Raw genomic sequence first — 26,131 nt, 5'->3', positions numbered from 1 at the left:
CTCAAGACTGTCCCCACTTCAGATGCTAATTTTAAGTCTGGGCATCCTGTACTTCTGACCTACCAGCTGTGGATTAGGGGGGTTCTGACAGCCTCCTCCTTGGGTTCTATAATTTGCTAGAATGACTCACAGAACTAAGGGAAACACTTTACTTATGTTTACTGGTTTATCATAAAGGATATAACTCAGGAACAGCCAGATGAATGAGATCCATAGGGCAAGGTGTGTGGGGTGCACAGAGCTTCCACGCTGTCTCCAGCATACCACCCTTCCAGGACCTTGGTGTATTCACCAACCTGGGAGCTCCTTAAATCTCCTTGTTCTAGAGTTTCTATAGAGTTTAATCTTCTTCTTCCCAGAGGTCAGTGAGTGGGGCTGAAAATTCCAAATTATAATCACTTATTTTTTCTGGACACCAGCTCCATCCAGAGGCTATCTAGAGTTCCCACCCTGAGTCACCGCATTCATGTAAACTCAGGTGTGACCAAAGGGGTTCATTATAAATAATACAAGATACTCCTATCACTCAAGAAATTATAAGAGTTTTAGGAACTCTGTACCAGGAACCAGGGACAAAGACTGAATACATTTCTTACTATACCACAGTTTTCTTCTACATTTTCTTCCAAGTTTAATGTTTCATGTTTAGATCTATGATCCATTTTGACTTAATTTTTGTATAAGATGTGAGATATGTCAGCCTAAATAACAGACAGGGAGAGGCTCTCTAAAAGAAAATATTTATTCAGGAACAGGGCATTGAAATGGGAATATGTGTGACATAGTAAACTACGTGCTTATTCAGGAAGGTAGAGGGAGACAGAGGTTTTTAAAGGGAACATGAGGAGCATTATGTAATTGTTTCGAGATCATTATTCTTGGCTACAAAGATCAATAACAAGAGCGATGCCAGTCGGAAGTTGGACAGGCAGTTGAATGTTGCAATGGCCTGTGTGCCAGGTTGTAGTTTTTGCCGTCCTTTGTGATAGTTTTGTTATCAGGCATACAAGTGTGAGAACCCTTTCTTTGCAGTCTTCCCTGGCCTATTGGTTAGGTTTTATTTATTTATTTATTTATTTTTATTTATTTTTTGAGACAGAGTCTCATTCTCTCACCCAGGTTGGAGTGCAGTGGTGCTCTCTCGGCTCACTGCAACCTCTGCCTCCCAGGTTCAAGCGATTCTCCTGCCTCAGCCTCCCAAGTAGCTGGGATTACAGGCGACTGCCACCACGCCCGGCTAATTTTTGTATTTTTAGTAGAGACAGGGTTTCACCATGTTGGTCAGGCTGGTCTCGAATTCCTGACCTCGTGATCTGCCTGCCTCGGCCCCCCAAAGTGCTGGGATTACAGGTGTGAGCCACCATGCCCGGCCTATTTATTTATTTTTTAATACTAGTGACTCTGTTTTGATTCTGGCTACTTTCATAGGTGTGGGTCAAGATTCCTATTTTTACATATGAATGTCCGGTTGTTTCAGCACCATTTGTTTAAATAGAATTATTTCTCCATTGAATTACCTTTGCACCTTTGTAAAAAATCAGATTAGTGTTTGCCGGGGTTCAGGGAGGGATTTTGGGGGTGGGAGATGACTGAAAGGTGCAGCACAAGGGAGGTCTTTGTGGCGATGGGACAGTTTTGCATCTTGCTTGTACTGGTGGGTACAGGAAACAACATATGTGGGAAAATGACAGAGCTACATACACACACATTATAAGCATATCAAATTCCTGGTCTTGATATTGTACTGTAATTATGTAAGATGTAACCATTGGTGGTGAAAGGTGCCTAGGACCTCTCTGTACTGCCTTTGTAACTTCCTATGAAACTATAATTATCTTTGCAACTTCTTGTGAATCTATAATTACTTCACAGGATAAAAAGGTTTGTGGGTTTTTTTTTGTTTTTTTTTTTTTTTTTTTTTTTTGAGACGGAGTTTCACTCTCATTGCCTAGGCTGGAGTACAGTGGTGTAATCTCGGCCCACTGCAACCTCCGCCTCCTGAATTCCAGCGATTCTTTTGCCTCAGCCTCCCAAGCAGCTGGGATTACAGGCACCCACCACCATGCCCGGCTAATTTTTGTATTTTTAGTAGAGATGGGGTTTCCCCATGTTGGCCAGGCTAGTCTCGAACTCCTGACCTCAGGTGATCTGTCCGCCTCCGCCTGTTAAAGTGCTGGGATTACAGGCATGAGTCACTGCGCCCAGCCTCTTCACAGGATAAAAAGTTTAAAAAATCAATTGATCGTATTTGTGTGGGTCTATCAGGACTTGCTTTTTTTTTCCCATTGATCTATTTGTCCATCCTTTGTCATTACCACACTCTTCTTTACTGCAATTTTATTAAGTTTTGAAACTGACAAAACTTATGTGACTCATTCAACTTTTTTCTTCTTTTACAAAATTGTTTTACCTATTTGATGTCTTTTGCATTTCTATATGAATTTTAGAATCAGTTTGTTAATTTCTATAAAAAGTCAGCTGGGATTTTGATTATGGAATTGTTTTGACTCTACAGATCAATACTTAACAGTATTAACTCTTCTAATATAATCCTTTGTTTTTAATTTTCACTTTTCGCTTTCAACTTAAAATTCCTCTTCGTCATCTAAAGCTTAAGATGAGAAAGCAGAGTTTTGGCAAGTGTGGGATATCACACCTCCCTCATGGTACAGAAAATATGCAGCCTGGCAGGATAGGTTTCTGAAACTCCAGACCCTGTGCAAGGTTACTTTTGCCTAATACAATGTTGCACATTGGGTCTTTTTTAAAATGTCGATTATTACCATAGCAACTCATACTCCAAGAAGCAAAATACATTTTTAGCTTGATAATTTCTAACGACCTGTCCTAAAATTTCTAATTTTAGAAAGAATAAATACCTTTTAAAAACTCCCATAAGTGGTTTAAAATTTTTAGGTGGGAAAGGCACAGATAGATTCAGGTTTTTATCCATTCTCATATTATAAAGATACATTTTAAAAGCCCCAAACCATTTTCAGAAGTGGAGGAGCAAGACATGGGGCCTGACAAGGTTAAGGTGGTGATAGGTGGTAATCAAATCCCACAGAGCCTGAGTCTCTCTAGAACAGGGTCTGTCTTGTTTACCTTATTATCCCCCAGTACCTGGCACTTTTTTTTCTTTTATTATTATTATACTTTAAGTTCTAGGGTACATGTGCACAATGTGCAGGTTTGTTACATATGTATACATGTGCCATGCTGGTGTGCTGCACCCATTAACTCGTCATTTAGCATTAGGTATATCTCCTAATGCTATCCCTCCCCCCTCCCCCCACCCCACAACAGTCCCCGGAGTATGATGTTCCCCTTCCCGTGTCCATGTGTTCTCATTGTTCAATTCCCACCTATGAGTGAGAACATGCTTTGGTTTTTTGTCCTTGTGATAGTTTGCTGAGAATGATGGTTTCCAGTTTCATCCATGTCCCTACAAAGGACATGAACTCTACATTTTTTATGGCTGCATAGTATTCCATGATGTATATGTGCCACATTTTCTTAATCCAGTCTATCATTGTTGGACATTTGGGTTGGTTCCAAGTCTTTGCTATTGTGAATAACCTGGCACTTTTTTTTAGTAGTTCAATACATATCTGTTGAAAGAGTAAATCAGTTTTGTTGCATAATTTTGGCCTATAGACTTTAGGCCACAATTTTTTTTTTTAAGAGATGGGGTCTCCCTCTATCACCCAGTCTGGAGTGCAGTGATGCGATCACAGCTCATTGGAGCCTCAAATTCCTGGGCCCACGGAGTCCTCCTGCCTCAGCCTCCTGAGTAGCTGGGATTACAGGTGCAAACCACCGTACCTGGCTGGTCTCTAATTTATATTCTCATTCCAAAGTGGATTCATTCCTTGACTAATACTTTACAATAATAGAAGGAAGTCCATATTCTTATGTCCTCTGACCAAGAGTTAATTTTCAAAATAATCAACAGGGAGTGAAAAAATATAATGTCATAGTTAAAGGCTTCAAAGATGTGTTTCAGAGATAGGAGTGAGGAGTCCTTGTCCCACTCAGGAGTGAGTAGAGGGTGTGATATAGTCACTGAGTGAGCCAGAACCACACCCAGGCCAGAACTACTGCCAAGGAATAGAAAGGGGCAATTGGGGATGCGTCAGCTTCCTCTGGATGTGTGAGTGTTCGCTCATCAGCGGAACTGCTAGCTTATAAAACCCAATGCCCTGTCACCTCCAGATCCCCTCAGTGCAAGCTAAAGTAGGGACACATCAATATTCTTCATCGGGGCGCACCAGTGTAGTGAGTCTTTTCAATGCATACTCTTTGTGTTTCCCTGTATTCTAGTTTTATTTTCACATTTACCCGACCAGCTTTGATTGGGCTTCTCATGGTAGACTTTCAGGCCATTGCACAACACTTGATTTTGGTGGCTGAAAGGTGTACCTTAGCTTGGGAACTTATGACTGAAAATTCACGTAAAGCAAGGCCTGACTTCTAGGTAGCCTGGAACTGTGTTCCCTGAGCCAAGTCAACATTTTGTCACAGGCTATACCACGCTTTGGTATTTCTCACTCAAAAGCAAAAAATGGAAGAGACTTTAAAATATTTCCCTGCTGGATATAGTAACTTTTTTTTTTTTTTTTGATGTGGTCTTGTTCTGTCGCCCAGGCTGGAGTGCCATGGTGCGATCACTGTTTGCTGCAGCCTTAACCTCCAGGCCCAAGCAGTCCTCTTGACTTAGCCACCCAAGTAGCTGGGGCCACAGGTGCATGCCACCATGCCTGGCTAATTTTTTTTTTTATTTTTTTTCTAGTGATGGGGTCTTGCTATGTTGCTCTGGCTGGTCTCAAACTCCAGGCCTCAAATGATTCTCCCACCTCAGCCTTCCAAAGTGCTGAGATTACCGGCATGAGCGACTGTGCTTGGCTGTAACCATTTTTAAATATAAATGCCTGATAAAGCAAAGTTGGAGTATCATTTAAATAATAATAGAATATAAAATATAATTATGATAAGAATAGAATGTAAATGAGCTATTATTTAATGATCAATGAGGAGTATGTTTAATTAAATTTTTACCTTACAGATCATCATGGTAAACTCTGTCTCTGACCTTCACGGCTACATCGACAAAAGCCAACTGACCCGGGAATTAGGGGGGACTTTGGAATATCGCCACGGTCAGTGGGTAAATCACCGCACTGTGAGTACCAGCTTACGTGTGCTTTTCACTGTCTCTCCTTGTTTTCTGGAAGATGGGGTGGGGGAGTTAAAGATCAACTGCCAGGAGGTCACCCTGTGACTGCCTGACCTTGGGGTGGTTGGGATTTCTCAGCCACAGGGTGGGGAAGAAGGAGTGTGGAAGGGCGAAGGCTGGGATTTCTCCTGTTGACCACCTTACCCCACTGCATCTCCCGGTGTGGGGGTTTTGGGACACTTACCTTCGAATGCACCTGGGAAGTTTCCAGAAACACCAATAGCCTGTTATACCTCAGAGAAACTAATTTACTTCATGTGGGATGGGTCTTAGACATTAACACACCACAGAACTCCCCAGATGATTCTAACGTACATACATATTGACACCCATGAAGTCAGAAGAAGCTACATTTAAATAGTGTCACCCCCCGGGGACTACTATAGGTGAGAAGGTGGGAGGGGGACAAGGATTGTAGAACTATTGGGTACGATACTCACTACCTGGGTGACAGGATCAACTGTACCCCAAACCTTGGCATCATGCAATATACCCATGTAACAAACCTGCACATGTACCCCCGAATCTAAAATCAAAGTTGAAATTAATTTTAAAAAATTGTCACAATAACATGTTGTCTGATGTTGGGTGAGTTTCTAAGCATTTCTGAGCTTGTTTCTTCATCTGTTAAAATGGGACTAACACAGTATTTCTCTATAGGGGATAATTTTGCCTGCCTCCTACATTTGTCAATATCTTTAGACTTTTTTGTAGTCATAACTTAGTGGGGAAAGTTAACTGGTATCTGGTGGGTCGTCAGGGACTCCGCTGAACACCTTACAATGCTCAAGACAGCCTCCCACAACAAAGAATCCTCTGGCCCAAAGTGTGAATAGCCAATGCTGAGAAACCCCGGACTAACGAAAGCCTCCTGAAAGTTTGATGTGGGGAATAAGTGATGTATTGTCTGTGAAAGCACCTGATATATAGTATTTTACTTTTTCCTACCTACTGATACTGGTGATTGTTATGCTAAGTTAGGAGTTTCAGTAATATTGAGGAAAAAGATCAAAACTCATAGTCATGGCTTGAATGTTGGCGTCCCCTCAAAATTCACATGTTGGAACCTAATGTGATAGCATTAAGAGGAGGGGGCTTTTGGGATGTATTAAGTCATGAAGGCTCTGGCATCATAAATGGAGTTAGTGCCCTTGCAAAAGAGGTTGAAGGGAGCTGTTATGCCCCCTCTGCCCTGTAAGGGCACAGAAGGCATCCTTTATGAGGAACAGACCTCCACCAGACACCAAATCTGCTGGGGCCTTGATCTTGAACTTCCCAACTTCCAGAACTGTAACTGTGAGAAATCAATTTCTGCTGCTTATAAATTACCCAGCCTAAGGTGTTTTTGTTATAGGCCATCCCTGGCCTAGTATGTAGCCATGGTTTGTGGTTGTGTATGTGCTGAACATTTTCTAGTGAACTTTAAAAAATACAACTAGTATTGAAAGACCAGAGATATTCTTTACATGCCTTTTACATGTATATATTTTTTATACACACACATACAGTCGTGTTTCATTTTATTATGCTTCACATTAGTGGGCTTCACAGATATTGCAATTTTTTTAAATTGAAGTTTCGTGGCAACTTTGTGTTGAACAAGTCTATCAGCACCATTTTTCCAACAGTATGTGCTCACTTCGTGCCTCTCTGACAAATTTTTGCAATTCTTGCAATATTTCAGAGTTTGTTATTACTATTATATTTGGTTTCTTTTTCTTTCTTTCTTTTTTTTTTTTTTTTGAGACAGAGTCTTGCTCTATCACCCAGACTGGAGTGCAGTGGCACAATCTCAGCTCACTGAAACCTCAGCCTCCTGGGTTCAAGCAATTCTTCTGCCTCAGCCTCCCAAGTAACTGGGATTACAGGCACGCGCCACCACGCCCAGCTAATTTTTGTATTTTTAGTAGAGACAAGGTTTCACCATGTTGGCCAGGCTGGTCTTGAACTCCTGACCTCAAGTGGTCTGCCCGCCTTGGCCTCCCAAAGTGCTGGGATTACAGGCATGAGCCACTGCACCCGGCCAACTGTTATATTTGTAACAGTGATCTGTGGTCAGCAATCTTTGGTGTTGCTATTGTAATTGTTTTGGGGTGCCGAAAACTGCATCCATGTAAGACAGTGAACTTAATGGATATATGTTGTGTGTGTTCTGACTGATCCACCAACTGGTCATCACCTGTCTCTCTCCCTCTCCTCGGGCCTCCCTACTCTCTAAGACAGAACAATATTGAAATTAGGCCAATTAATTACCTTACAATGACCTCTAAGTGTTCAAGTGAAAGGAAGAATGGCCTGTCTCTCACTTTAAATCAAAAGCTTGAAACGATTAAGCTTAATGAGGAAGGCATGTCAAAAGTTGAGACAGGCAGAAAGCTAGACCTCTTAGCCTAGCCAGTTCGCCTAGTTGTGAATGCAAAGGAAAAGTTCTTGATGGAAACTAAAAATGCTACTCCAGTGAATACATGAATGATAAGAAAGCAAAATAGCCTTCTTGCTGATATGGAGAAAGTTTTAGTGGTCTGGGCCTGGATAGAAGATCAAACCACCCACAACATTTCCTTAAGCCAAAGCCTAATCCAGAGCAAGGCCCTAGTTCTCTTCAACTTTATTAATGAGAGAGATGAAGAAGCTGCAGAAGAAAAGTTTGAAGCTAGCAGGGGTTGGTTTGTGAGGTTTAAGGAAGGAATTCTTCTCTGTAACATACAAGTGCAAGGTGCTGCTACAGAAGCTGCAGCAAGTTATCCAGAAGATCTAGCTAAGATCATTGCTGAAAGTGGCTATACTCGGCTCGGCGCAGTGGCTCATGCCTGTAATCCCAGCACTTGGGAGGCCGAGGTGGGCAGATCACCTGAGGTCAGTAGTTCAAGACCAGCCTGGACAACATGGTGAAACCCTGTCTCTACTAAAAATATGAAAAATTAGCTGGGCGTGGTGGCGGGTGCCTGTCATCCCAGCTACTCAGGAGGCTGAGGCAGGAGAATCGCTTGAACCCGGGAGGCGGAGGTTGCAGTGAGCTGAGATCGCGCCACTGCACTCCAGCCTGGGCAACAAGAGCAAAATTTGTCTCAAAAAAAAAAAAAAAAGAAAAGAAAAAGTGACTACACTCAACAACAGATTTTCAATGTAAATGAAACGGCATTCTATTGGAAGAAGATGTCATCTAAGACTTCCATAACTAGAGAAGTGAATGCCTGGCTTCAAAGCTTAAAAGGACAGGCTGACTCTCTTGTTAGGGGCTAATGCAGCTGGTGACCTTAAATGGAAGCCAATGCTCATTTACCACTCCAAAAATCCTAGGGCCCTTAAGAATGAGGCTAAATCTACTCTGCCTGTGCCCTAGAAATAGAACAACAGAGCCTGGATGGCAGCACTTCTGTTTACAGCATGGTTAACTGCATATTTTAAGCCACCTGTTGAGACCTCCTGCTTAGACAAAAAGATCCTTTCAAAATATTACTGCTTATTGGAGATTCACCTGGTCACCTGAGAGCTCTGATGGAGATGTACAAGGAGTTGAATGTTTTCATGCCTGCTAACACAACATCTATGCTGCAGCTTGTGGATCAAAGAGCAATTTCAACTTTCAGTTTTACTATTTAAGAAATATGCTTTGTAAAGCTATACCTGCCATAGATAGTGATTCCTCTGATGGGTGTCAGTAGAGCAAATTGCAAACCTTCTGGAAAGGATTCATCATTCTGGATGCCTTTAAGAACATTAGTGATTCATGGGAGGAAGTCAAAATATCAGTATTAACAGGAGTTTGAGAGAAGCTGATTCCCACCCTCATGGATGACTTTGAAGGGTTCAAGACTTTAGTTGGGGAAGTAACTGCAGGTGTGGTGGAAATAGCAAGAGAACTAGAAGTGGAGCCTGAAGATGTGACTGCATTGCTGCAACCTCATGATAAAGCTTGAATGAATGAAGAACAGTTTTTTACGGATGAGCAAAAAAAGTGATTTCTTCATCTTTCTGGTGATGACGTTATGCACATTGTTGAAATGACAACAAAGGATTTAGAATATTCCATAAACTTAGTCTACAAAGCAGTGGCAGAGTTTGAGAGGATTAACTCCAATTTTGAAAGAAGTTCTATTGTGAGTAAACTGCTACCAAACAGTTTCGCATGCTACAGAGAATTCTTTCATGAAAGGAAGTCAATTGATGTGGCAACTTCATTGTTGTCTTACTTTAAGAAATTGTCACCACCATTCCAGCCTTCGGCAACCATCACCCTGATCAGTCAGCAGCCATCCACATTGAGGCAAGACCCTCCGGCAGCAAAAAGATTGTGATTTGATGAAGGCCCAGAAGATGGTTAGCATTTTTTAACAATAAAGTATTTTGAAATTAAGGTATGTGGAATTTTTGACATAATGCTATTGCACACTTAATAGACTACAGTATACTGTAAACATAACTTCCCTTTGCACTAGGACACAAAAGAATTTTTGTGACTCACTTTATTGTAACATTGGCTTCATTGCAGTGGCCTAGAACCAAACCCACAATATCTCTGAGGTTTGCCTGTATATATAACTAGGAATAATATAACCACACATATACAGTACATATTGTTTTATAAGTGAGATATATAGATTCTTTTCTGTGTGACAGTGCATTTTCTGGGTGTCACCTCTTTGAACGAGAGACTCAGAAAGTTAGAACTCAAAGGAATCTTAAAGATCGTGTGACTCAATCACTTTATTTTATAGATAAATAAACTGACGTTCAGTGTAAAGAGGTGACTTATCCAAAGTCATTTGGTCAACTAGTGGCAGCATTGAGACTAAAACCAGCCTCTTTTTAATCTCCCTATCAGAATCAGGTCCTCTATACCATTTCCAAGGTGAGGTGATTATTCACTAATTTTATCAACTAAATCTGTTGTCTTTCCATCAAGACAGCATGTTGGTGAATGTTAATCTCTCCATATTGTTACAATTGTCTGACCTTCCAGGCCATCGAAAACTTTGCCTTGACCTTGAAGACCACTGCCCAGATGCTGCAGACGTTTGGGTCCTGCCTGGCCACAGCAGAGCTGCCCAGAAGCATGCTATCCACGGAAGACCTTCTCATGTCCCACACAAGGCAGCGGGACAAGCTGCAGGTGAGCGGTCAGTGACCTCTCAGAGGCCAGTGTCTGTGCCAGCAGGTATGCCTGCCTCTCGGAGAGAGCTGGAAGCAGAATTAACAGTTAAGCCCTCGTTTTCCTTCTTCTTTAGTGACTTGGAAGCCACTGATCATCTTAAACCTTCCAGACAGGCAGTTTGTAATGAAAGAAATCTCTTGAGACTGGGTGGTGAGTGAGTCTCTTGAGACTGGGTGGTGAGTGAGTCTTTTGAGACTGGGTGGTGAGTGAAGAACGGTGGGAAGCAGCACAGGGAAGGGCTTTTCCAGCTTTGTCCGGGTGAGCTGAGGCATGTGAGCACCCTTTCAAGGGTTGCCCTCTCGTGATCCTGCTCAGGACAGAGCAAGACAGAACGTGCTGAAATTGCAGGGGTAGGGGCTGGCTTTTGAAGTATAAGCTTTCCAGCAGTGGTTGTAAAGTTTTGGGGCAGACTAATAAGCGGACTTATTGCTTCACTTTCTCAGGAGTGCATCTTTTTATTTGGGGATGAATTTGAGAAAAAGGACTACGGAAGGCACCCTGTCCTGAGTTGAAGGTCAGGCACCTATTAAATGATTCGTAAAAGCACGTCAGAACCTGCCGAGAAAAGGGAGCTTGGCAGGTTCTTTCACTCATGCAGTACAGGGAAATCTTCCCGGGGCTTCTCCCTGGATGAGTGTTGGCACCTTTCTACCTTGAGAAGCACAAACAGAACGAACCCATTATTTCACAGAAGCCCAGTTTTCAATAGGGCAGCAAAATGAGGATTGGACGGTCAGTGTATGTGTCTTGGCCTCATGGAACTTGGGAAGAGTTGAACTGTTGTGTCTGTGACCAAAAATTTGCAAAAATGCTTTGCTAGATGGTTGATTTGTTCGTTTATTCAACATTTATTGAGCACCTACCACTACTTGCCAGGAAAACCAAAAACTCAACCTTAACGAACACAGTCTAGTTAGGAGAGTCTCAGAGTCTAGTAATTGAGGCAAATTAATGCTTCCATGTGACAGGGAACACCATTAAATTCAGTCTTTAAGGAGGTTGTTATTCAAAAAAACAATGGCCGGGCGTAGTTGGTTCACGCCTGTAATCCCAGCACTTTGGGAGGCCGAGGTGGGCGGATCACTTGAGGTCAGGAGTTCAAGACCAGCCTGGCCAACATGGTGAAACCCTGTCTCTACTAAAAATATAAAAATTAGCCAGGCTTGATGGCAGGTGCCTGTAATCCCAGCTACTCAGGAGGCTGAGGTGAAAGAATTGCTTGAAGCTGGGAGGCAGAGGTTGCAGTGAGCCGAGATCTCGCCACTGCACTCTGTCCTGGGTGACAGAGCGAGACTCCATCTCAAAACAACAAAAACAACAACAACAAAAGAGAAAAAATATATTCCAAAGATTACTGTCAGTAATCAAAATATCTGGAATGGGCTGGGTGCAGTGGCTCATGCGTGTAATCCTAGCACTTTGGGAGGCTGAGGTGGGCAGATCACCTGAGGTCAGGAGTTCGAGACCAGCCTGGACAACATGGGGAAACCTTGTCTCTACTAAAAACACAAAAATTAGCTGGGCATGGTGGCAGGCACCTGTAATCCCAGCTATTCAGGAGGCTGAGGCAGGAGACTCGCTTGAACCCGGGAGATGGAGGTTGCAGTGAGCCGAGATCATGCCACTCCACTCCAGCCTGGGTGACAGAGTGAGACTCCATCTCAAAAACAAAACAAAACAAAACAAAACAAAAAAACACCAAAATAAAACAAACAAAAAAAAAAAATCTGGACTGAAATTGTAAAATCCTGATGACATCATGAAAATTTTCCCTGAAAATGCCTCTGAGAAGCTTGGCCTTTGCTTTTCCAAACCTACTGGCTAAGTTCACGTGATTCCTAGGAGGTATGAGTTGCTGAAAGCAGGGTCCAGGTGCCTCCATGAAGTGTGCTAGGAAGGAGTTTGCAGTTGCACAGGCCCACAGGTGGTCCCTGACCAAAAGGAGTCTGCAGAGTGGTCCTGTTGGTGCAAAGGGGTGTCATGGGAAGGACGCCCAGCGCGGCAAGGACTGTGAAACTGAGCTGTGTGCCTTGGGCTCATGAGCACGGTGCGTTCTTTGCCTCAATCCAAGAAGGGCGTGGAGAGGTCGAAGAGCAGAAGCACCGGGATGACAATGTGGTCAGTCAGGAAGGTCTCTGGAGAAAAGGTTAAAACATTTAGATTTTTAGATAAGGACACATAACTAGGGGGTGAAAACCAGCCAGTCAGGTCTTGCTGTATATGCTGGTGGGCAAGGCAGAGGGGTGGGGACAGGGAAGGCAGATGAGTGGGTGTTCTATAGTTTCTCTACACAGGCAAAGAGTTCTGCAGAGGTAAAAAGGTGGGAAAGAACCAGCTTCCAGGATGGAGTAAGAGGATTTCCTTATGCATGCTAACCAGCTGTTCTCAGAATTAAAACAGGCAGCTCTGAGCAAAGGAGGCTAAGACTTCTCTCAGGTTATGGGTTGGAGTAACCTTGGAGGCCACATAGTTAGAAGTATTATTTGACATTTATACTCTATTACATTAATTTGGTTAAACACCCCCTATCCAACCTGTAAGACAAGTGAAAGGAAATTAGAAGGTTCCATTTAATTGGCCTTTTAGTAAAAGAAATGCTTGCATTTATATTCCATGCAGCTCTAAAATCATGGTGAAGACCTAAAATTATTTTAAGACAAAATTCTCAAAGCGATTTAATTTGTCCAAGTGTTTACCTCGATTAAGAATATTAAGTGAATTTGGATTTAAAATATTATCTTTATTTTACCAAGTAATATTAACATCCTTTAAAAGACAATACAGGCTGGGCACAGTGGCTCAATCCTGTATGTAGTCCCAGCACTTTGGGAGGCCGAGGCGGGGGTGGATCACCTGAGGTCAGGAGTTCGAGACGAGCCTGGCCAACATGGTGAAACCCCATCTCTACTAAAAATACAAAAATTAGCCGGGAATGGTAGCTGGCACCTGTAATCCCAGGTACTCAGGAGGCTGAGGCAGGAGAATCACTTGAACTCGGGAGGCAGAGGTTGTGGTGAGCTGAAATCACTCCATTACACTCCAGCCTGGGCAACAAGAGTGAAATTCTGTCTCAAAAAAAAAAAAAAAAAAAAAAAAAAAAAAAAAAAAAAAAAAAAAAGAAAAGAAAAAAAGAGATACTGTTTAAACTTGTATTAATAACTTAGTAGGTTTTTGTGGTTATTTATGCATATTTTATTTTACCGTGAGTGGTCTTTTACCTACCTTTTAATCAAAGATTCTATATGTCGTCAAATAATTTCTTTTCCAGCTGGAAAAGTGAAAAACTATTATAAGATTCATTCTTCAGTACAGTGAACTTTTATATCTATTTAATTATCTATAAAAGTTGTAGCGTGTGATATACCATTTTCTCCCAGCCTGGAGAGTGTTTTTTCCTAAACAACTAGCACAGCTTAGGGGATTTGGCTTGATTTCTTGAATTCCTTTCTCCTGGGATTTTTGAGATCTCTTATCTTAGGTATATGTGTCTGGTCGCCCAAACAATCAAACAGAATAGGAGAGCCATTGAGTTGGAGAGGTTTTCAGCCTTACTTGCTATTTCTCCAGGGAGTTGTTACTATTTTGTTCAAAATAATCTTCCAGTAGAACCTCTTTTCTTTTGGCCCTTCAGTATATTAAACCAGTATGTTCACACAGAAAAAAATCTCTAAACATCCACAGTGGAACAATCGTATCAAACTTCTAAGCAAACTGATGACTTTAAAGAAGGCTCTTCCCCAGAAACATAAATTCTTTCCCCCAGCCTGAGCTACAGTTTGGGCCTTAATGTATTCTTACAATCAGAGAGTGCTCCCGACTTCAGTAAGTGCTATTTTCTCTCCAATCAAATTGCGGGCACCTTGGGCTTCATGATAAATTTGAAACCTTATTTTCTCTGTGATTTCACTCTCATCTGAGGGACAGAAAGGAAGAGCAAGTCTTGTAAACACAAGCAGCTTTAGCCTTCCCTGGGAGAGCTCAGCTCCTGATGAGTGAGACAAGCAGACAGGACTCAGCTGCCCGTCATTCCTGCTGTGTGCCTTTCCACCCATCAAGGAGAGTACGAGCAAGTGCTCAGGGCACACGCACAACGGCACCTCCACCTCGTCTGCCAGTTGGATCCTGTTCCAAGGTGGTGGTGGGGCTCCCATTTTCTGAGGAAAGGGAACTTTGGTAGGCAATGAGCTATCTCTCAGTTTATAAGCAGTCCTTACCCTGCCACCAACGGGACCCTGTCTGCACAGGGAAAAGGAGACTCTCCGAAAGGGAGCATGAACTTATACACATGTTCTGGAAGATAGTGCCCTGAGTTTCTCCTCCAGCCTGAGTGCGGGCAGTAAAAAAATTAAATACCCAAAAAGTTTATTTTCTTTCCATGGAAACTGAAACTCCATTTTTAAAAAGGCTGAGCAACTTCCCCTTACCCTTTCCAAGTACCGTAGTTGCTCCATCTTTCCGTCTGTGTTCATGACAGATTTTTGTAACCCTACTCAAGTTGACCCTGTGGTTGAATCCCAAAGCAGTCACCAGGTCACAATTTTTGCTTGTATCCTTTTTAAACAGTGTAAAGGGGATATATAGTGTGTGACATCACTTGTGAAGATTCACCTTCCCTGTCTCACACACTTTCCTCATTCATGCTCTGCCGCACTTTGGATGTATCCCTCTTCCCAGCTTCCCCCTCCAGTGTCTCCTTCTGCTATACCAATATGGCGTTTCTCCTTTAGCCTCTCCACCTTTCTTCCCAACTCTTCCTCACATATGGATATGTGTGTGTGTGTGTGTGTGTGTGTTGCTGGAAGCTCAGCAGCAGTTAAGAAAATGAGTGGGAAAAGCCAAGACCCTCTTTAGTAGGTGGGATGAGGAAATGGCTAAGATACTGACCCAAGAGTACATTTTTCCATCATATCTAATTTGTCTTTATTCATCTGCAACCTGACTTCTTTTAGGCTGTTATTAATTTATCCAACCTACAAATATTTCATGAGCATTGATGAGATAAGAAATGAGGGCTGACACATGAGAATGGAAAAGAAGAGATATGCCTGATTCCCAGGCAAAAGTGCCAGCCATGTGGCTAATGTGGGGCACTGTTTGGAGTGGACAGAGCCAGAGGAGGTGTCCAAAGAACCCTGAAGGGCCAGCTCAGGGAAGCCAAGTCCATCATCAGCCAGATCCAGGGCCAGGTTTGAGGATGGGTATGGCAATGTAACCCTTCCAGGGGAAATTCTGGAGTAGGATGGGACACAAGGAACAAAGGTACCAGCTTGAGAGGGTCCAGGACTTCTGTGTGATCAGAGTGGGGAGGTCTAAAACTCTTCCCACAGGGAATGAGCTCTAGGCTGTGTGAAGACCACACAGGTGGCTGGGCCTAGAGGAAGTGATTCAGTGTTTGCGTGCAGAGGTGATCCCTTGATTTGTTTTAGAAGTATGGGCCTGTTCTAATGCTCAAGGGCATACCAAACCAGCCTCCTCTGACCCAGGAACCAAACCCATAATTCCCAAGCACAAAATTCTAGGTCAGGCTCTGCCACTTTTGTTTTGCAGTCTGGACTTTCTTTATGGGTAAGGCTCAGGGCAACGAATGATGACCTGCACTGTCCAAGGAAAGGACTACAGCTGTTGGCTTTGGAAGGAAGTAGCCTTCCACAGCTGCATAGTACTAAGTCTCTGTTAAAAGAGTAGAATGGGGGGTTGGCTTGGAAGTATGAATCTTTCCATGTTAAAATGAAATTGCTGCCCATATCTGCCAAACTTAAATAATTAAACAAGGCCATAGTTGGTTGGCAGGTGGAGGGAGAGGCAGGTGTTTATTGATGAGACCAACTGAAGTATTTTTATGATCAACTAGCAGTTATTACATTATTATTGCTCAGTAGTTTCTAGCGTTCAACATTCAGTATCTATCATTTTCTTGTTTCTGGTCACTATCTTGGATTAAAACTAGATTGTATTAACTAGTTTTGCTTTTAATTTACAACAATAGCTTGAGATATACAAAAAGCAGATGTTGATTTTGAAGAGGAAAAATATACTTTTTTTGATGTATACCCTTTCGGATATTTTGAATTTTGTATCATGTCGGTGTGTTACCTGTCAAGGATAAGTTAATTGATTAAAGCTGCATCTTGACTTCATCAGCATTTAATTTCCTAAATGAAAAATGTACTGATCTACTATTCTCTTCACCTCAATTCTACCAAGAATTTGTTTTTTCTAATTCGTTCTAAGAGAGACTACTTTTATTTTCTAGGATGAGCTGAAATTACTTGGAAAGCAGGGGACCACATTGCTGTCATGCATCCAAGAACCAGCAACCAAATGTCCCAACAGCAAACTCAATCTCAACCAACTTGAGAATGTAACTACCATGGAAAGGTGAGTGAGTGAAGTGGAATCAGCCTTTTCAGGAGAGAATATGTAGACCTAGATGTTCTGGAGCAACCAAGAACAGATTGGAACAGCCAATATTGGGTCTTGGTGGGGCCAAGGAAGAAGAATATTTGAGACAACAAAGGAAAAAAGAATACGTCCGTCTGGCATCCACATACAGAGATCTTTTTATGAGCATTCTATTCCCCCCTCTTCAATGTATATGACATGTTCCCACCCTAGGATTTTGAGGGAGAGGGTAGTATTTACTGGGCTTCATTTCCAAGTAACAGTTTAGCTTGGAGCTGTGCTTTATATTCGTGTAGTCTCAGGTAGAAAGAAAGAAGGCATGAAGGTAAGATCAGCCGGAGCACATTCTAAAGCACAGCAGCTGCATCTGAAGCAAAGTCACTGCCTGCACTGTGGATGTCCTGATTGGAAAATGAAAGGTGCAAAGCCTGCTGAGCCAGAAGAAAGGCATAGGTGACACATGCTTTCATAATAATGAGATGGTCACAATTGACACCACTGACCGAAGACACAGGTGTTCTAGCCATAGGCCTATATGGATGCCTGTGGAAATGAATGCTAACCTAACATCACTTTCTCATTCTTTCTTGAAAGGTTATTAGTTCAACTGGATGAAACAGAAAAAGCCTTTAGTCACTTTTGGTCTGAGCATCATCTGAAGCTTAACCAGTGCCTACAACTACAGCATTTTGAGCACGATTTTTGTAAGGTATTCTTTTCTTGTTTACTGTAACTTTCTTTTCTGGTACCGGGACCTCTGGTTTTCTCTCCCTCCTCACTCTTTGGTATGGGGTTTCCCTCTTTTCCCTAATCCAGCTTTCTCCTTATCTCCTTGCTTCTTTACAGACCACCCCCTCCAACCCCCTTCTCACTTTTTCAGTGGAGTCAAACTGTTCTAGAATCCCATTTACCTGTTGATGTACATGGCATTTCAGTGATGGTTTATCTTCCTTTTTTTTTTGAAACAGGGTCTTGCTCTGTCACTCCGGCCGGAGTGCAGTGGTGTGATCATGGCTCACTGCAGCTTTGATCTTCTGGGCTCAAGCTATCCTCCCACCTCAGCCTCCCAAGTAGCTGGAATTACAGGCATGCCCCACCATCACACCCGGTAATTTTTTTTTTGAGTTGGAGTCTCACTCTGTTGCCCAGGCTGGAGTGCAATGGCGCGATCTCAGCTCACTGCAACCTCCGCCTCCCAGGTTCAAGCGATTCTCCTGCCTCAGCCTCCTGAGTAGCTGGGACTACAGGTGCCCACCACCACACTCAGCTAATTTTTTGTATTTTTGGTAGAGATGGGGTTTCACTGTGTTAGCCAGGATGGTCTCAATCTCCTGACCTCTGTGACCTACCTGCCTCGGTCTCCCAAAGTGCTGGGATTACAGGCGTGAGCCACTGCGCCCGGCCCAGATAATTTTTAAATATTTTTGCAGAGACGAGGTCTCCCTATGTTGCCCAGGCTGGCCTCGAACTTCCAAGCACAAACAATCCTCCTGCCTCAGCCTCCCAAAGTGCTGTGATTATAGGCATGAGCCACTGGACCCAGCTGTCTTCCTTTTTGATTGATTATCTGTTGAATATAGTTCTAATAGTTCAGCTACAGGTGAATTCTGCACCCCCAGCTTAATTTGAAAGTTAGTGAGCTGCAAAAAAAAAATTTTTAACATATATAGATATATACAAGTCTTGAATCCTTTTTGGAATTTTGAGTTTTCTTGAAGCATAACAAACCTATACCTTCAGGTGAGTGAGTGTTGGTTTACTTCTGGACTGTTCTAATGTTTCTTGTAGGCTAAGCTTGCCCTGGATAATTTGCTGGAAGAGCAAGCAGAGTTTACAGGCATTGGAGACAGCGTGATGCACGTGGAGCAGATTCTTAAGGAACACAAAAAACTGGAGGAAAAAAGCCAGGTTTGCTTTCTGACATTTTTGTGTACTGGGAGGGAGGTTGCTGTGGACAATGATGGATCATGTCCAGTCATTGCTATTGGAAGGTTGCTAAAGGACACAGGAATGCCCAGTCCTGCCCTTCAGTCACCCCAGGATCCCAAGGAGAGAGGCACATTAACAACTGCTATGAATAATACGGGCAGCACAGAGTCCTATTAAAGCTGCCGGAACATACAGTTGCAGTTGGACGCTCAGGTCGGGTGAGGACTCTGGACCAGCCCTGCCCTCTCACGTGGTCAGCAGCCAAGTGGGAGAAGGTCACAACAGGCTCATCACTCACCAGAACAATTATATCAGAGGCTCACCCATCAGCTTGAGCTCCTCCCTGGAGCCTGGACTAGGGGGCTGGGGGTTGTGGGGTTGGTAGTAAGGATGGGAAACTTTCAAAGGAGAAACCAGAAAAAAAAAAACAACTAGTTTTATACCTGGAGCAAGACAATTAGATGGGGGAAATTGGTCCATGTTAGTTCCATTGCTACACAGAATTGGCAAAGCTTTCTCCTTTCTCATGTCCCAAGAGTTGTAAATGTGAAACTTGTAAAAGAATATGTATTTTACAGTCCCATACTGGAATTAAACAGTGTCCCAGATCCGCACACAAGTCAGCATTTAGAAATGATTCCATTTTAAGTGTTTACAGATTTGGTTTATTACAAATGAAGAAAGCTGAGTCGTCTCTTTCCAGAGAAGTTCCTTTCTGCTTGTTTGAAATTAGGTTCTCTATATTTTTGGGTCTTGGGGACCAAGTCCCCTGTGGTTAGCGCTTCCTTTCTTAGCTAATCTGGAGGCATGTTTCTCAGACGGCAATTTTGCAGTACTAGAGATTTGCCAAAGTGTGAGCCTCTGGCCAGCAGCACAGATGTCACCTGAGTAAGCGCTAATTAGAAATATAAAATCTCAGACCCCACCCTGGAATTGGAATCTGCATTTTAAGAAGATCCCCAGGTGATTGACTTGTACGTTAAAGTTGGAGACACACACCCCTAAAGGATACAAAACAAAGTATACCAAGGCCACACTGACTCTAAGAGCTGTTGGTTGTAGATTCTGAGCTGCAGGTGCTTGTGCACATGCATGAACACACAAACCCAGCTGTGTATCCAGATCCCCATTCAGGAATCCCATCCCTTCACAGCGAGCGCTCTTTCTCTTACCAGTGACCATTTGACAGATAAACTAGTGCTAAAGACACATGAGTCATCAGGAACATTTATCAAACAATGGAAAAGTTGAATTTCATATATATGATGACTAGATACCTTAGATTCTCCAGGACAGCCCCAACCTTATATCATTTTAGTTTTTTCAAAATAATTTTTTACTGAATATAGATACTATATTTTTTTGCTTATTCATATATTAAGAAAAAGTGCCTCATCAAAAAAAATGCCTTCATATATATATGAAAGTAGCTACTGACCTATCCAGAGGGTTATTTATTCATCAAGAGGTATTCCTTATCCTAGGTTCCGTGGGTGCAGCGGTGAGCCAGACAGTCCAGAATCTGCCCTCATGGAGCTTACATTCTACTGGAGAGAGACAGTTCACTAAAAAGCAATCAAATAAATAATAACATCAGATAGTAACAAGTGATATAAAAAAGAAAACAAGATATAATAGAAAGTGACTGGGGATGCTACTTTAGCTAGAATGGTCTGGAAAGGCCTGAGAAGACGACCTTTGGTCTGAGATCTGTTTGATCTGTGTAATCATGCAAAGACTTAGGGAATAGTATCAAAGCAAGAGCGAGCTGCAGGTGCAAAGGTCCTAAAGTGGAAATGAGCTTGGTGAGTTCAAGGAACATTGCTAGAGCAGGTGGGCCAGGAGGAAATGAGTGAACAGAGATGAGCAGAGGCCAGGTAGTCCTGTTGCACCCTGAGATCTTTTGTGAGGATTTGAATTTTATTCTCAGTGGAACAGAAAGCCCTTGGAAGGCGCTCTGGGCTGTGTCTTGAATAGTGGCGATGGATCTGCATGACTGCATCACATTCTTTCTTCTGCCCACTTCCTTGAACTTGTGGTCCTTGGTATATACTTCAAAAGTTGCTGACCAGAGTTAGGGATGAAACCTGTGGTTATGGAACACAGGAATGCTCTGTGAACCCATGACCCACCTTTCGTGGGCAACATTCTTGAAGCAGCTAGACTAGCCCACTGTGGATGACCTGTGACTTGCAGGATTTGCAGACCTGTCACATCCTATGACTTGCAGATCTTATTTCTAAACTTGCTTCCTGAAGGATGTAGTACACCTGTGTCTCTGCCTTTGCGTAAATCAAACAAAGCTGTCTCATCGTAACTGAGATCGTTTTCAATATATCTTCCCTCAGACTTCTCAGACACATGGCTTCTTCAGATGATTAGGGCTTGGCTAATCTTTCCATTTGTCCTTTAAAGTGTTAAAGGAACAAGACTGTGTCTGGCCACAATCTGACAAATATCTGCCTGGAGTTTGTCCTTTACTCGGCACTAAGGGGCCAGCTCCCTCCCAGCACAGCCACACGCTGGCTCTGGGGTGTTGCCAGCTTCCTTATTCCACACAGTGACATCATTCTCACAAGTAACCTCAGTCAACTCACTAACCAGGCTCCTGTCGCATGCTGATTCAGCCTGTTCTTTATCTTGTTCTCGTTTGAGGGTTTAGCAGTCTTTTGAATGCTCCTTCCTGATTCTGAAAAACAGTAGTTTCAACCACTTACAGAAGGTCTTCTATAAAAGCAGAACTTGCTGCAGGGTTTTGACTGTGGGCCGTACTGAGACCCTTGCTGAGGGGCCAGCAGGGAACAGACCAGGACAGGGTGGAGGAACCACCTGATTTCAGCCTTGACCTCTCCCCATAAGGGTGCTGTGTCTAAGAAGGCATGGAACCCAGGCCATTAACATCTAAGGATGTCATCTTGTTGGAGGGTCATGGCTTTGTGTACATGTGTGAAATTTTCAAACACACAGAGAAGCAGATAGACTGGCACAATGAACTCCAAGTGTCCATCATTCAATTTCAACAACCATTAGCTTTCTGCCTTTCTTGTTTCATCTGGCCCACCTCCCCATACACACACTCCATCCCTGTGGATCCTCTGTGGGTTTGTTCTAGATTCCCGGATAGAGTAGCATCACTCGCTTTCTCGCCACTTTCTTCCCTAGTAGGCACTCTCATCTCTCATCTGTTATACCAGCAGAGTCCTCGGGGGGAAATAAACTTATTTCAATAAAGATTTCTGATTGCAACTTCTAAGCTGAAACTTGACGATCCAGCCTTCTGGAATTTTCAGCATCTGAAAGATCCCAGATGGGCTTGTGATCAGAAGATTTTAGCCATTTTTTCCCTCACTCTTTCTTTTTTACTTTGGAGATTTTGATGACTATTTATCCTGAGTGGGAGGTATATAAACTAAAAAAATAAGCTTCAATTTGGAGGTTTCACCATAAATTTCTTTGCAGGCACCAGGAGGATTTCATAGCACATGTGTAGAGGCCAGGTGGGCTGGAAGGTGACAAGAACACAGGCTTTGGAAGTCGGATAGGGATGGATTCAAATCTTGGCTCTAACAAGTACCAGCTGTATGACCCTAGTCACGTTTCGTAGCCTTTCTGAATATGGTCCCCCTCATCTGTAAAGCAGAGGTAATAATTCCTGCCTCACAGAGACCTTGTGAAGATTAAATGAGTTAGATGTGTGGTAGGGACTTCATGTGGTCAGCTTGCAATATGGTTGGTGGTCAGTAGTCAGTGGTCAGAAACTATTGTTGTCCTTTCAATTCTGTAATAGTGACCTTCCAGCCATGTGGTGGCTGAATCCGGGTTGCTCCTTAGTTGCCCTTTTTTTTGAGACGGAGTTTCACTCTTGCCGCCCAGGCTGGAGTGCAGTGGCACAATCTCAGCTCACTGCAACCTCCGCCTCCTGGGTTCAAGCGATTCTTCTGTCTCAGCCTCCCAAGTAGCTGGGACTACAGGTACCCTCCACCACACCCGGCTAATTTTTGTATTTTTAGTAGAGATGGGGTTTCACCATGTTGGTCAGGCTGGTCTCTAACTCCTGACCTTGTGATCCGCCGGCCTTGGCTTCCCAAAGTGCTGGGATTACAGGCGTGACCCACTGCGCCCGGCCTCCTCAGTTGCCTTTATGGGCGTTTCTCCCTAGACCCATTTGGACCTGTTACACACATCTTCCCTCTAACATCTCAAATGTCTTCTGGAAAATTCTGAAGGGTGAAATACTGTATGCTGAGGGAAGGGCAGGCTCTGATCACCACAGGGTGATTTGGAAGTATCCTGTGGTGAATTTCCCTGGACCCAGAAAATTCTGCCCTGTTCTTAATAAATTAGGCAGCTGGACTTAAAAAAAAAAAAAGTGTCAACAGAGACTTTCATGCCAAGTCTCATGTTTCTATATTTGACTAAAGTCAGACAAGTTCGAGCAACCAAATGAGGTCTCTAAGTTTAGGCAGAACAAGTGCAGCCATTTTTCTCTGTGTATGTTGGTCTGAGCCAGATCCTGGAGCAAGACTGCCTGGGTTTGAAGCCTGGCTCTTCTCTTTCCTACCTGGGTCACCTTGGGCCATTGTGCTCCACTTCCCTTTGGTAAAACAGTACCTGTATCAAAGGGTTTGTTGTGAAGAGTTAAGGAAATAAGCAAATGTAAAGCATTCAGAACAGTGCCTGGCATCTGTTAAGCTCTCAGTAGATGTTAGCTGTTGTTATTAACATTACAGAGGTAGAGGGATAAATTCTGGGCTATGGAACATGTGCTAGGTTCAGTCTGCGGTAGCTGAGCAGTGCTAGGAAAGGTCTGTCATTCATTCGACATCTATTCTGCAAATATTTATTCATCTCCTACCATGCCAGGTACTGTTTAAGTTCTGAGGACACAGCAGTGAACCAAAGAGTCAAAAATCACTGCCCAGACCAGGCGCGGTGGCTCACGCCTGTAATCCTAGCACTTTGGGAGGCCGAGGCGGGTGAATTGCCTGAGCTCAGGAGTTCGAGACCAGCCTGGGCAACATGGTGAAACCCCATCTCTGCTAAAAATTAAAAAAAAAAAAAATTAGCCAGGCATAGTGGTGGGCGCCTATAGTCCCAGCTACTCGGGAGGCTGAGGGAGGAGAATCGCTTGAACCCCGGAGGCAGAATTTTCAGTGAGCCTAGATCAAGCCACTGCACTCCAGCCTAGCTACAGAGCAAGATTCCATCTCAAAAAAAAAAAAAAAAAAAAAATCACTGCCCAGGGAATGAGTATTCCAGTCATCTTGTAGGGGTGGTAACCAGTGCACCTGGGCCTTTGCTGTTTAGAACAAGTGTTCTGGGTATTTTTGCCTCAGTCCTTTTAACTAGCCACTACTTGATTTGTGTCACTTGTTTCTATACCAGTACTCCTCTTTGTTTTGTGCAGCATTTATTTGTAAGTACCTAAGATGCAGCATGCACTGTTTTCAGTTGAATAAGAGCTGGTTCTGGACCATAGGTGTCTGTGGCATAGCGCAGGCAGCAGATAAGTGGTCACAACATAATGAAGCAGGTGCTCTGATCAAGAGAAGCACAGAGAAAGTTTTCTGGAGAAGGTGAAGTCTGAAATATGATTTAGATCGAGTTGGCCCCAGAGGAGTATGGGTGAGGGGGAGTAGGGAAGGATGGGCTTTCTAGGCAGACAGCAGGTGGAGAAGGGATGGAGGCCTGAAGCTGCCTGAATATTTGGGGAACAATAAGTGGATAATTAGTATGGTTGCAGCAGAGAATGGAGTTGAGGAAGTGGAAGAGGACTTGGTAAGTCAGGCACACCCAGGTATGAGCTAGATAATGAAATTCCCCGTGTGCATTGCTCAAGAGTTTAAGCTTGCTCCTGAAGACCCTGGGCGCCCAGGAAAGGGCTTGAAGCTTGGGAGTGATGTAGACACAATAAGATATGTTGGAATTGCTCCTTTGTCAGCAGTCTGGAGCATGATTTGAAGGAGAGCCTGAAGAAAAGCAGGGAGACCAGTTGTCCCCATGAGAAGCCATGAGGCCTGAGCAGACAGTGACAAGGAGGTGGCAGAGATGGGGTCAGAATTTGAAAGGCATTAAGAAGGCGACGGTCCCTGCGGGGCTTCGTGAATGACTGGGAGGGTAAGAGGAAAGGGGTTTGGAAATTGTTGAAACCATAAACCAGTGCAAGTTAAGAGAGGGGCAAGATGTACGCACCTGGAGTTACCGTGACTCCTTGTGTTACTGTAAACAGCTAAAGCAGTGCAGTGATGCACTGGATGCTTAGTGTGGCTGGCAAGGGGGCTCATGGGCTCTCTGCTCCTGGAGACCTTTTGGAATGTGGCAGTCATCTGTGCTGATTGCTTCACAGAGTTCCAGCCAAGCAGGTCACCGCATCATGTAGCTCATTGGCTCATTCATTTATTTTGTTGATCAAATATTTATTGCATGCCTACTAAATGCTCTCATGGAACTTACATTTTGGTGGGAGTGAGTGGAGGAGGGAGGAATTCTTTTTTTTTTTTGGAGACAGAGTCTCATTCTGTTGCCCAGGCTGGAGTGCAGTGGCACAATCTCAGCTTACTGCAACCTCCGCCTCCCAGGTTCAAGCTATTCTCCTGCCTCAGCCTCCCGAGTAGCTGGGACTACAGGTGTGTGCCACCATGCCTGGCTAATTTTTTGTCTTTTTAGTAGAGATGGGGTTTCACCGTGTTAGCCAGGATGGTCTCGATCTCCTGACCTCATGATCTGCCCGTCTCGGCCTCCCAAAGTGCTGGGATTACTGGTGTGAGCCACCGCGCCCAGCCAGGAGGGAGGAATTCTACATTAAAGTAAATAAAGAAAATAGTTTTTAGATAGAGATAATGCTGTTAAAGAATTAAAGTGTGGGAGAGGGCCTAGGTGACTGGGCGAATAGGTTGTAGAGAATGACTTAAGATATAGTCGCCAGGGAAGCGCTGTGAGGAGGTGACCCAGGAACTCAGCTCTGCATGACCCAGGGAAGAACAATCCAGAGAAGGGTCGAGTCAGGAGCTAGTTTGGTGACCAGCCGTAAGCCGTATCTCTCGGCTGGATTCCTGCAGCAGCCCCTTAATGAGTCTCCCTGCATTTCCTCTTATTCTGGACACTGTACCGGGAGTGGTCCTTTCAAAAACATGATCGAGATCCTCCCTCCAAACCCAGGGGCTTTCCTCTCACCCCGGCTATGGAACCCCCTCTTTCCTCTAGTTAGTCTTCCACTCATTTCCTTCTTGCTCCCTCTGCTGCAGCCACACTGGCCTCCTTCCTGCTACCCAAACTTGTCAAACACGCCTTCACCTCCCAGCCAAGTACTGCACGGCTTGTCCCTGACTTCAGGTCTCAGCTTGTATGCAGAGCGCTCCCAAGACCATGCACACATTTCTTCGAAGATTCACTAGGAGGATTCTGCATGT

At 43.6% G+C, this 26,131-nt stretch overlaps 1 protein-coding gene across 7 annotated transcripts in view; it reads left to right on the top strand.

Moving 5' to 3' along the window:
• The window catches only part of MCF2L2 (MCF.2 cell line derived transforming sequence-like 2), a 250,579-nt gene that overhangs the window by 100,203 nt on the left and 124,245 nt on the right, over positions 1–26,131 (top strand). For 5 of the 7 annotated variants that reach the window (NM_015078.4, XM_017005943.3, XM_017005945.3 and 2 more), the window contains exons 6-10: positions 5,066–5,182; positions 10,200–10,349; positions 16,645–16,769; positions 17,388–17,502; positions 18,582–18,701. In NM_015078.4, coding sequence (NP_055893.4) covers positions 5,066–5,182; positions 10,200–10,349; positions 16,645–16,769; positions 17,388–17,502; positions 18,582–18,701 — 627 coding nt within the window. The other 2 variants (XM_011512585.3, XM_047447751.1) reach the window with 2 other exon arrangements.

This window comes from Homo sapiens, chromosome 3 (genome assembly GCF_000001405.40).
Source record: "Homo sapiens chromosome 3, GRCh38.p14 Primary Assembly".
NCBI classification, from domain to species: Eukaryota; Metazoa; Chordata; class Mammalia; order Primates; family Hominidae; genus Homo; species Homo sapiens.
Note: the sequence above shows the minus strand (reverse complement) of the source record. Positions and strands in the feature narration are given on the sequence as shown.